At 32.6% G+C, this 13,266-nt stretch overlaps 1 long non-coding RNA gene across 2 annotated transcripts in view; it reads left to right on the forward strand.

Moving 5' to 3' along the window:
- Positions 1-13,266, forward strand: part of LOC105371657 (uncharacterized) — a 453,818-nt gene that overhangs the window by 33,255 nt on the left and 407,297 nt on the right. The gene's annotated exons all lie outside the window — the stretch shown is intronic.

The following is a 13,266-nucleotide window of genomic DNA, read 5'->3' on the forward strand; positions in this document are numbered from 1 at the left end:
GTGATTGACAAAATTAGAAATGTTCCAGAGGATTTTAGATAGTAGGTGTAAGTGGCTGTAGAAACTTCTTTAATGTAAGAGTTCAGTAGAATAAGCTGTTAAAGATGACATTTAGAAGTCTGAATGGAGTTGCTTGGGTGATCAGAGTATCTTTAAATGAGACAGAATAGAGAAAGAACAGCTTTCGTGGGATCTTGAACGCATAGAGTTTAAATGTGGATGATCATAGTTTGGAATACTGAGAAAAATAACTGGGTAGATATCGAGATAATCAAGTTGTTTTTCTGATAGATGATGACAACTCAATCCTTCCAGTCACTCAGCAAAATTGTGGTAATTATCTCTTCCTTTTAGGTCATATAACCAATCTGCTACACACATTTCTTTGCGTTTTCCTTCAAAGTATATTTAGAATCTCAGCATATTTAATGAATTTTACTACTAGCATCTGGACTTCAAACATTATGATCTTTCTCCGAGATGCTACAATAGCTCCCTGCCCATTCTTCCTGCTTCCACCTACCCCTCCCCTCTTGTCTATTTTTAATATAAAAGTGGTTGATCTTTTTAAAAACAGCAGTTAGATTAATATAAAACTTCTTATATAAAACTACCATGATACTCCAACTTACTCATAATTAAAGCCAAAATCCTTATAATTGCTTCTAAGCTCTTATAGTTCTCCCTAACTCCTGCCATTATATCTTGACCTCATGTCCTATTAATTTCCCCTAATTTCTATCTCCAATCTAATCACACTGGCTACCACGACTATCTGCTCTAACACTGGTATTTCTGACATATTACATAAGTTAAAAATATATGTTAGGTTTACTATTGTCTGCCTCTCACTACTAATAATATGCTTTATGGGTTGGAGATATTTTACTAACTTTCTGCTAGACTAAAATGTATTCCAGGAACCTACAAGGATAACTGTGATATAAAAGTTGCTCAATAAATAGTTCTCAGTAAATTGAAGTTTATTATATACAATATTATTCACTGCATTTAATAATACAGGAAAAAGTTTAGAAATCACTTTCTTCAAAAAAGGTGTTAAGTTTAATAATATGTCTCTATTTTTTTCTTGAAGATGCTGACTATATGCTGTAATTCTGAACAATCTAAAAACTTCTGTGGCTCAAAACTATGATGGTTTGATTTTTTTTTCACACTGCATATCCAAGTAGGATTATAAATGAGAGGTTGTCGTGTACCTCAAGTTATCATTCCCCCCTCTGGACCTCAGCTGTTGATGCTTCCACTATCTGGGGCATCACCATTATAGAGGGAAAATTAATATGAATTCTTACCAAGCTGCCTAAAGAACTTTCTGAATGAAAGTGACAGTTTACTAGCCAAAAAAATCAATAAATAAAAACAGGGGAAGAGAAACATTCTTACCATGTAACTAGAAGCATATTTTTATAGATGAAATATAAGTTAATATTATTTTATTGAGTTTGACTTCCTTTTACCATTTGCTTTTGCTGTTGTTAAGCTTGAGTTTAGATGAAAATACTAAACAGCTACTAAAAATAAATTATGTATAACCATGCCTTACTTACATTAAAGGCTTATATGCCAAAAATAGTTGCTGGACACAAGTTGTCTAAATCTATATGAAAAAAGACACAGGTTTTTTTTTAACATCAAAATGTTTGCAAAGTTTAAAATTTAAAATATAAAATAACTAATCAACAATGAAACAAATATCGATGTTTTAAGTTGTATTCAAGTGAAATTTTGCTATGTATCCAGACTATAAGAAAATAACAAAATAGCTCATGACAACAAATTAATACTATATAATGCATAAGTATACCACCAAATCTTGAAAAACATTTTTATTTAATCATTAAAAAAAACATACTTTATTTACTATGTATATATAGAGGGAAATACATGATTTGAAATAGATAGTGCTTAGATTTCAAAGCATATATTAACACACACTCTAAAAAAAAGAATCGTTTGTCCTTGTTATTAATAGTTACCTTGAACTACTCATTGGAAAAACATTTGATTAGAATATTAATGTTCTAATATTTTTATCACTCAAATTCAGTTCAAATAATTGTTGAGTAAGAATATTTTTTCATATGGAAAAATTTCCAAATTCAAAAAAATCTTGACTTTGTTAAAAATTTCTCAATGTAGCTGCAAGGATAAATGAATTATAAGTGTCCTTGAGTCATGTCTATTGTTCTTCCTCCTTGGCTGTTACTTGCTAGCCGAAAATCAGCATGAGAAATGACTATAGAGACAGCTGGCCAGTAAAAGAGATGATGGGCTCCAGCTGTGCTGACAGGAAAGGGAATTAAAATATAGTAAATGAGAATCTACTCATTCCTGTTTCAAAATATTTTAAAACTAATGTTATTATGATCTATTCCTATATGCATAATACTCACATATTCGGTATGTCAAACAGTTCAGACTACTCAAAATAGAGCATGTGCACATACAAAAAGAAGTTACTCATAAACTTTACCAAAACCGTGAGAATAATTGTATTTGAAGCCCATTAATTTCAAAATATAAGAATACTAGAAAAATAGAATCTGGAAACTGTTTAATGTGAGAAACTATCAAGAGGAAACCTGTATTATTATACTGAACAAAGGAACTAATATAATTTCTACCTTCAAAAAAATAGATGACTCAATGTTCATAACCTCTCTTTATAATAGTCAACTGGGAGAGTCTTTATTGTTGGTGCTTTCTGCCATGTTGAAGGCATGATTTCTCATTTTCTAAAATGATTCCCCTGGCTCAGTTGATGCTACCATCTCCTGATTCTTCCATCTGCTTCTCACTTTTTCTACTGTTATCTCTCATAGGACTATCCATTTACCTCTACACACAGGATGCTATTTCTGGGCATTCTCTTCTATTTTTGGATTTTGAATGGCTGTTTTTGTGAGGGTGACTCTCAATACCCCTCTCCAATTAGTGGTTTTTGTTTAAATCTTTATACTAAATTAATTTATTGCTTAGCATCAGCAGTTTTTTTTTGTAGGATTGGCATCAGCAGTTTGTTGTTAAGCTTGTCATTCTTAATTTTCTTAATCCCTATACATATTAAATCTATAATAATCGCACTAAGTGTTGTTTCCTTTGACAATTAGAAGAGATATAATTATTTGTTAGAGGCACATAGTAGGTTTTTGAATAATTAATACAAATGCATTAATAAATAAAATATCTCCACGTTTTTTAACCCATTATATACACACTATAGATAACACAGACACACACACACACACCTTTACCTCTGCCTAAATATTTCAATGACTTTCAGTTTATTAGAGTAAAAAACCTAAGCCCCTTACATTAAAGGCTTATATTAAAGCCTCTTATACTCGAATATTATATTATCCTTTATAATATAAAGGCTTATATTAAAGCTCTTTATATTAAAAGCTAACACTGAAGATTCTGCATGCCTTTGTCTCTACATAGCCATCCTTCTAATCCCTTATTTTGTCAAACCATATATAGATTGCTATAATTGTCTCTAATGTTTCATGTCTCCAAGTATCCATGCTCATATATAGTTTTCTGCATAGATCCTGGCTTTCAAACTTTAGTAAATGCAATACCAGAAAAGGCTAGTAAAGTTCTCATGAATTAGGATTTGCTTGTTCTTTCTGTTGGGGAGACTTTTTGCCATGTACCAAAGTCCAGAATAGCTACCTGGGCAATAACTAAGCACATGAGTAGAGGTCCCAGCTATAGCACCCATCCTAGACCTGGAGCAAACACATAGGGAAGTCTAGCTATCATTACCTGGACCAAACAAAAGCCAGCCCAGCTGAGCCTAGCCTAAACTGAGCAACAAAATTGAGAGCAAAAAAATATTATTGTTTTAAGTACTGAATTTGGAGGTGATTTACTGCGCATTAAGTGTTCAAATATTATTTAAAGATTGAAATTAATTTCATAAGCTCTCTACTACCTCTAATGAATTTTCTTTCTTCTGATAACCTCTTACTAATGTTTCAATACCCAATCTTTACATTACTGCTTTCAGAAAGATTTTCTTCCACTAACAGGCTAGGGCTAATTATCCTCTTTCATGCTCCCATAGAATACTCAGTATATAGTTATGTAATAGCTTCTCAAAGTACATTAAGTATTAAAGTCAAGGGAAAAGAAGAAGAAAACCTCAATTAAGCCTCCTTGACTTAATTACATTATCTAATTCAATTACCAGCACTAGATGATATTATATATTTAGGTAAATATTAAAGATATAATGCTTTGCCCCATCGTATCATTTCCTGATTATTGAACCCCTGCTTGAGAAAGTATGGTGAAGGATAAATATGAATTAATTATTACCATCTGAATGAGCCTTATTGTCTAATGTGACTGTACTTATTTATATTTAAGCATAATGAGCATCATTCCAAAAATTCCAAAAATACTATTTTAAAATTATAGTATTTTATTTCATATTTAATAATTAGGCAAACATTTCAACAGAGTATCAATGTTCATATTACTGAATATATATGTTAATGAGCATTCAGTTTTTCCCAAGTAACATTTTTAAAACTGTTTCCAGTCAACAATATTTATATTTAGAGAGGGTGTGGTTGTATCCCTGTATTGACCAAATAAGTTGAACTACAAAAAATTTAAGTATCTAAATTTGTTTAGAATTTAATGCATTCATACTCTAATTCATACAACCATCTTTTTTTATAATTCTTATATATGTGACATAATACTTTCAGTGAAAGTGTATTTCTTATCACGTATACTATATCCATTAAATCAATTTTATGCTTAATGAACTATAACGTGTTGCAACTTCACTGGCTTTTTCAAGCAATTCAACAATTCCTGAATAAAGTGCATTCCTTTAAACCCTTGGATTTCTTGGTTTTCTAAAGTGAGCTAACTTCTCTAAAACCTAAGCCTTCTTCACTTCTGAATTTTTTACTAAACAGTCTGATACTTTCTAATTCTTGTTCAGGTCTGTCTACCTTTACATAACTTCCTTCTTGGCAACTTTGATCCTTTATACTCCTTATGTCTAATTTATATCTCTGGAAAGGTAACAAGTGCATACTCTTAGCTACTTTTCTAAATCGTACGCTTTTCCTTATCTGAAAGTACTAAGTTCCAAACTTGGCCTTTAACCTTTTAGTTTTAATGCTTTTCTTGTTGTTATTTTATTTTGTTCTACTTACATTAGAAAAATGTACAGCATGATTTTAAACCTCTAACTACTATTCTGCTGCTCTACTCATTTATGATAGAGTCAGGAGTTAAGACAATCTGATCAAAACCATGCCATTAGCAAGATAATGTTCTAATGAAATATAAGAGTTCTAAATCTTGGATAAAAAAGTTATAAGGTGCATTGAAAGTTCAAAGTCAAAAAATGAATAAAGGTATAATGTGAAAATATCATTAAATAAATCTGGTGGGCTACTATATATCATTATAAAAGGAATAATGATAAAAAAAGTAAAAAATATATATAATAATAGGAAGCCAATAATGAGAATGTATAAGAAATCTGTATTTGTATGCACCTAACATTACAGTATAGCTTCAAATATTTACAGAAAAATTAACAAATATGTGAAGCAAATTAGACAAATATACAGTATAACAGAACAAGAGTGCAAAATAAGTCAAGACATGTTACTTAAGTAACGTGAATAACATCTTCATCAAATTGATTTATCTCCAGTATTTCATGTTACTAAAATTACTCTAAAAGTTGAATTATTGAAAAGTTTACCCCTGGATTTAGGAAGATGAGAATGCTCTGTATCATCATCTCTATTTCATATTGTATTGGAGATTTTGACAAGTATAAAGACAATATGGAAAACAAAATTTATAAATTGAAAGAGAAAGTAAACTTTAATTATTCACTAATGACATTTCCTTTTTATAATCAAATATCTATAAGCTATTAGAATTAATATGTCATTTTTAGCTTTCAATTTTGATACTATTTACTTATACATTTGTTATACTTATATATTCATACAAAATAAATTGTATTCATTCTTGAAAAAATATGATTTTTATTTTTCCTTTTCTTCCATTTTGAATTTACAATTACACTCATCTTAGGTAAACTGATATTATCCCAAAGGTGCCTGTGGTGCCATTATTTATTTTTTTGTTCTTCAGGTTTTTTTTTTTGCCTCTCTTTGCTTCAGTCTATTGACCTGACCACAGGTCTAATTAAGCTGATCCAGTGAACTTGTCATATCAAACAATGCATTTTTTCCAATTTTAATATTTATCTTTATTTTTTATGTACTATTTATTTCAATTCTGAGTTTCACCAATTATTCATTCATTGTGTTCATCCTTACCTTTACAATTTAAAACATATTTGTAGCAGCAGTTTTTTTAAATTGACACATATTTGTATGCATAATTGTACATACTTATGGGGTTCAGTGTGATATTTTGATATATGCATACAATGAATAATGAAAATCAGATAATTAACATAGCCATCATTTCAAACATTTATTCTTTGTATTGGCAACTTTCAAAATAACCTAGCAATTGGAAGATATACAATTAATTATTATTTGCTACAATTACAGTGCTATAGAGCACTAGAACTTATTTATACTACCTAGATGTAATTTTGTATCCTATCCCCCAGAACCTTCCTAGCCTCTAGTAACCACTACTCTATACTCTACTTATATAACATCAGTTTTAACATGTCTATCTGTTAATTCTCTTTAATCATCTGAGGGTCAGTCCTTTCTAATTAAGTAGGTCGCATTTTCCTTCCTCCTTCCATGTCCAGTATTTCAATTGTATAGGAAATTCGGGATGATATATTGTTAGAAGTCTGAATTTTGCTACTTTGTTGATTGTGTCTAGAGTAGCCCTTCTACTAGGGTGGTTTTTCTCAGCCTTAACATTAAGTTTTGTCTGGAAGATTCTTTGTTTTGGAGGTTGTCCTAGTCATAGTATTTAGTAGCATCCTAGGCTGCTACTCACTATATGTCAATAGTATTCCCCAAGTTGTGACAGCACAAAAATGTCTCTAATGCATTTCCAAATGTCACTGGTGAACATAATATTCCCAATTTGGGAACCACTGTTCAGAGGTTAGGGTAAGCTACTTCTAAGGTATGGTCTTCCTTGTGTTTCAATGAAATGCCTGGTGTGTTTCAGGAGGTCTTTTCTCTCCAATTAGAATCAAAATTCTAACTTATCTTAGCTGCATTAATCTTCCTGCATCTCCACTCAGCTCACAGGCTATTAGTAGCCGTTTTCAGTCAGAACTCACAGACCTCAGAATAACTCAGCTTACAGGCTATTAGTAGCCATTTTCAGTCAGAACTCACCGACCTCAGCGTACACAGTTTAGCATTCAACTGAAAATCCGAGAAGACCTCTATCCATATTTCTTAAGTTCTTTTTTTTTTCAGATTCACTTTCTATAGTACCCATTCTTGAAGATTCCAGCTGCCTTGTCCACTCTGAGCTTTTTTCTTTTTTCTTTTTTCTTTTTTTTGCCTTAAAACAATAGAAATTTATTCTCTTACAGTTCTGGAGGCCAGGGTTCTGAAATCAAAGTATTGGCAGGATGGTGGTCCCTACAGAGGTTCCAGGGAAGATCCCATTCCTTGCCTCTTCTAATTTCTATTAGCTGTTGATGCTTCTTGGTTTGTGGTTACATCACTCCAATCTTTGCCTCCTTTTTATTTATTTATTTATTTATTTATTTATTTTAAGTTTTTATTATACTTCAAGTTCTAGGGTACATGTGCACAATGTGCAGGTTTGTTACGTATGTATATGTGAGCCATGTTGGTGTGCTGCACCCATTAACTTGTCATTTATATTAGGTATATCTACTAATGCTATCCCTCCACCATCCCCCCACCCCATGACAGGCCTGGGCGTGTCATGTTCCGCTTTCTGTGTCCAGGTGTTCTCATTGTTCAATTCTCACCTATGAGTGAGAACATGTAGTGTTTTTTTTTTTTGTTGTTCTTGCGATAGTTTGCTGAGAATGATGGTTTCCAGCTTCATCCATGTCCCTACAAATGACATGAACTCATCCTTTTTATGGCTGCATAGTATTCCATGGTGTATATGTGCCACATTTTCTTAATCCAGTCTATCACTGATGGACATTTGAGTTGGTTCCAAGTTTTTGCTCTTGTGAATAGTGCCACAATAAGCATACATGTGCATGTGTCTTTATAGCAGCATGATTTATAATCCTTTGGGTATATACCCAGTAATGGGATGGCTGGGTCAAATGGAATTTCTAGTTCTAGATCCGTGAGGAATCACCACACTGTCTTCCACAATGGTTGAACTAGTTTACAGTCCCACCAATGGTGTGAAAGTGTTCCTATTTTTCCACATCCTCTCCAGCTTTCTCTTTCATCTACCAACCAAAACTGCTATTCCCTTATTTGGTGCATTTCCTCGTTCTGTGGTTTGGAAATTTCCCCTAGACAGAAATCTGGGGTGATGGTAGAGCTCATCCCACGTATTTCCCTTCTTTTAAGAATCTGTCCTGTGCTATAAGCCCTTCAATGTTTGAACATGGCTTCTGTACTCTCCACTTTTATAACTGCTTACCAGGATAAGAGTATGGATAATACTCTTCATCATGGTGAGACACAGAACTATATATAACTTTTAAATAATGCATTTATTTGTAAAAGGAATTTGAAAAAGCATCCCATTTTTGTCTCATCTATTCTACCATCCACTTTCTGTAGCCATTTTTAATAACACCAATACAAAATAGCCCCACGCAAAAATAAAAACTTATCTAAAAAAATTTTAAAGATTTAGTTTAAGGAAATAAACAGTTTCTTAAAAATAGCAAACCAATATTCATAATTAACACATGAACTACTCTATGGTTTACAAAGTGCTTTCACATATGTTAGGTTTTTTTGTTTGTTTGCTTTGTTTTGTTTTGTTTTTGAGATGGAGTCTCGCTCTGTATCCAGGCTGGAGGGCAGTGGAAGGATCTCGGCTCACTGAAAGCTCCGCCTCCCAGGTTCACGCCATTCTCCTGCCTCAGCCTCCCGAGTAGCTGGGATTACAGATGCCCACCATCACGCCCGGCTAACTTTTTTTTTTTTTTTTTTTTTGTATTTTTAGTAGAGACGGGATTTCACCGTGTTAGCCAGGATGGTCTCGATCTCCTGACCTCGTGATCTGCCCACCTCGGCCTCCCAAAGTGCTGTGATTACAGGCGTGAGCCACCATGTCTGGCCCACATATGTTAGGTGTTTATGATTATTAGATTTTTATAATAATTATGTTAGTTATAAATCATAGCCACTAGATAAAATTTAAGAAAGTCATTATCACTTTCATCATTTTTGTCATAATTTATATTGTATGGGAGGAAATTAGACATAAAATGTGTAAATTACTTAGATAAGTCATAAGCTGAAACTTATACCCACTTTTCTCTTTGAATGTATGCTGCTCTTTCCCTACATTATCCATAAATTGTTATCATATTTTTTCTACAATCTGAGGTGCTATATCTCTCATATTGTAAATAAGAGTGGAAATGCTTAATAAATATTTTCATTGATTTAAGACATGCAAAATTTTCTCAAATTATTCAGGAAATTTAGTATCCATTTTGTATTACTCCACATCTTATACAAATATGAATACCTTCCTTTTACCCAACAACATCATTTTAAATCCTAGAGTGGTATGCATATTATAAAAGTACACTAGCAAAGGGAGTAAGATTAAAAAATTAGAGAGATTTCTTGAGTTTTTTTTTTTCCGGAGTTACATGAAATGAGACATCTCTAGAGTACATCAGAATACAATTTCGATTCATTCTTAACAAACCATGTTGCCTGTCTGCAGTGGATAAAGGAAGGAGGAATGCACACTTCTTGATTTGTTACTGTCTGCCAGTGTACTAAATCTCTCCTATATATTAATTCACTTAGTCATAGGTCATAGAAGGCATTTTTACAAGAGATGAACAAGCTTTTGGCTGCTCTGTTTAATATATTACATCTTTGCATTTATTTAATCAGAATTATATTGTGTAAATAAATGAGGGTTTTCATGAAAATTGAATGTTATGTTGTAACTAATTTATTTTGAAATAATTTAACAGCCATTGAGTTTTACACTAATTGCTTTATGAGATTAATGAATTTACATAGTTATTTGAGTCTCATTACTTGGCAGAGTATAGAAAAATGAAGCTAATAAACTTTTCCAAGAACTTCCCTTGGCATGAAGCAAGTGGAAAATAAAATTCTGCTTTAAAACAATGGCAGTTTTACTTTATGAAGAAGAGCTGCTCATAAAATTCATTTCTCTTGTTTTAGCACTGTAAGGAAGATACAGATTGGCCTGAAATAAAGCCCCATATGGAAAATATTTACTTATGTAAATGTAAATTATCAATATTAATGGGGGCAGGATATTCCAAATATGTGATAGCAAGTTCCAGGCAGAGGAAACAAATATGTAGCATGTTAGGCAAGAAGAGACATTGGCTATTTGAGAACAAAAATAGAAGGACACTGTGATGGAAGCATAATAAAAAGGGAAGGCCAGGCGCGGTGGCTCACGCCTGTAATACCAGCACTTTGGGAGGCCAAGAGGGGCGGATCACGCAGTCAGGAGTTTGAGACCATCCTAGCTAACACGGTGAAACCCTGTCTCTACTAAAAATACAAAAAATTAGCCAAGTGTGGTGTCACGTGCCTGTAGTCCCAGCTACTCGGGAAGCTGAAGCAGGAGAATTGCTTGAACCCGGGAGGCGGAGGTTACAGTGAGCCAAGATTACACCACTGCACTCCAGCCTTGGTGACAGAGCGAGACTCCGCCTCAAAAAAAAAAAAAAAAAAAAAAGAAGGAAAAAAATTGTATTTTTTCCTGAATATGAAGTGGACAAATTGGGTAACTCTTTTAACCCACGCTAAACAATTTGGATATTCTCTCAGTGAAAATAGCCAGCAGTGAGAGCTTTCAGCAAGAGCATGATATACATTAATTTATGGTTGTAAAAGAGTTATCTAGCTATTTTTTAAGACAATGAATTTAAAGAAGCACTAAAGTGGACATAAAAAAATTACCTGGGTGGGTTATAGCGTTCCAACGTACTTTCGAATGAAAGTTTATCCCTGGGTTAGAGAGGCAGGGAAAGAGTAGTTGAATTTAGAATGTAATTTGAAGGTAGTATTATTTTGCTGATAGTTGAGTTATTTCAGAGGTATTGTAAAAGAAATAAATCAAGGAATTTTCAACTTTTATTAGGGCTACTGCATAAATGGTGGCACCAACATCTAAGACTGGAAAATGGGAAGAGGAGACTTGGAGGGTTATGGGACAAGAGGCGTTAAAGGAGAATCAAGACCTTACCTTTTTGGACTTGTAAAAATCGAGCCCCTAATGTAATCTAAAGGAGATACTGTGCAGGCAGTGAGGATTAAGATCAAGGATACTGACTGAAATATGAATTTGCTCAATATAGTCAGGATGAACCAATTATTGCATGTGTGTATGTTCGTAAAATAATTAAGGAAACAGAAATTTTGAGTGCTAATTTATCCAGTCTTCCACTATTAACTTTGTATGTATGTGTATGTGTGTGTGCGTGCATGTATGAAAATAAAACTAAATATATAATTTTAAACAATAATTATATTCAGCTTATACCACACTTGTAATAAAATCGACACAAAGAGTGCATATAATGGACATTGTCTTTATTTTAAAATGTATTTTTGGGTTGGCATTGGGGAAAACAAGGTCTGACTCTGTTGCTCAGGCTGCAGATTAGGGGTACGATCTTGGCTTACTGCATCCTCTGCCTTCCAGGCTCAAGTGATCCTCCCAGCTCAGCTTCCTGAGTAGCTGGGACTACAGACGTACCACTGCATGCATGCCCGGCTAATTTCTATATTTTTTATAGAAACTGTTTTTCACCATGTTGCCCAGGCTGGTCTCGAACTTATGAGCTCAAGCAATCCACCTGCCTTGGTCTCCCAAAGTGCTGGGATTATAGCCATGAGCCACTGTACCTGGCCTATTTTTAAATGTATTTCTTAAGAAAAATAAGCAGCCACCAGTTTTTCACTAAAATTGCATAATGTCTTCTAAATGGAAAAATTTGAAAGGAGCTTATTAATAAGTATATTTTAAGAATGAGATGAAACATAATCTAATTTGATTTAATAGTATACTTATTTAAAATATGAATTCAAATATTAGATATTTTAATAAAACTCAAATTAAATTACAGAGTTTGAATATCATTGAAATATCTGTGCTAACATTGTCTTACTGTTAAATTTGAAAAACATGAAAAATATAAGGCTGACTTCTTTGTAATTATAAGTTGCGTACAGTGAATGCAATCTTTAACCTTTTGTGTTTCTTTACTTTATTGTATATTAGGTAATTATGTAACATGGGTATTATACTATTTTAACATTATTTATTTTCATTTTAATAATTTAAACTCAATAAAGATAAGAAATAGTTGTTTTGTGATTTTTGCCTTCTGCAATGATTAGTTGTCATTATTTTTAATTTTTATTACCTTAAATCTCCTTGGTTCCAAATAAGTCAGTAAACTGATATAAATGCTTTCCCACTGTTATTAATAGTAATTGGTTTTTATTGTAAAATTTATTTTGCTATTCTGGCATATTTATGTTATAGCAAAATATTGAGAAGGAAATTGATGTGACTATTAAAAATGTTGCTAATTTTATATTTGCTTTATCTCTGTACTCTCCTACTCCATTTCCCTGCCATATGTGATTGTTTTGAATTGTTTGCTCAAGTATTGCAATTACTTTTTTCTTGAAAATTGATTTATTATGTTTAAGCTGATTTAATTACAGAAGACATTGTTTACAGAAGTTATATAATTTATTTGGTAATATTTAGGTTTATCCCAAAGCAGCACAATGTAGTTAATACGCTAGTGTGAGAGTGAAGTGCTCTCACATGTCTGTTAAGTTCAGAACCACCTTAATGGAATTAACTGGACATGTGACTGGTTAATAAACTAATTCATCTCTTCCTAACTTGCACTAAAGGAGCATACAAAACTCAAGCTGTAATGCATTCTTTATATCTGGATAGCAGGGCATGAAAAGTATTCTATTTCCTAAGCCCTTTTATTTCCCTTTTCTATTTTTAATCACTTATTATGAATATTTTTTCTTTTACTAAGAACGTGGACATTTTCACAAAAAAAATAAAAATAAGTAGAGGGGTTTGGTA

Source organism: Homo sapiens, chromosome 1, assembly GCF_000001405.40.
Source record: "Homo sapiens chromosome 1, GRCh38.p14 Primary Assembly".
Lineage (NCBI taxonomy): Eukaryota > Metazoa > Chordata > Mammalia > Primates > Hominidae > Homo > Homo sapiens.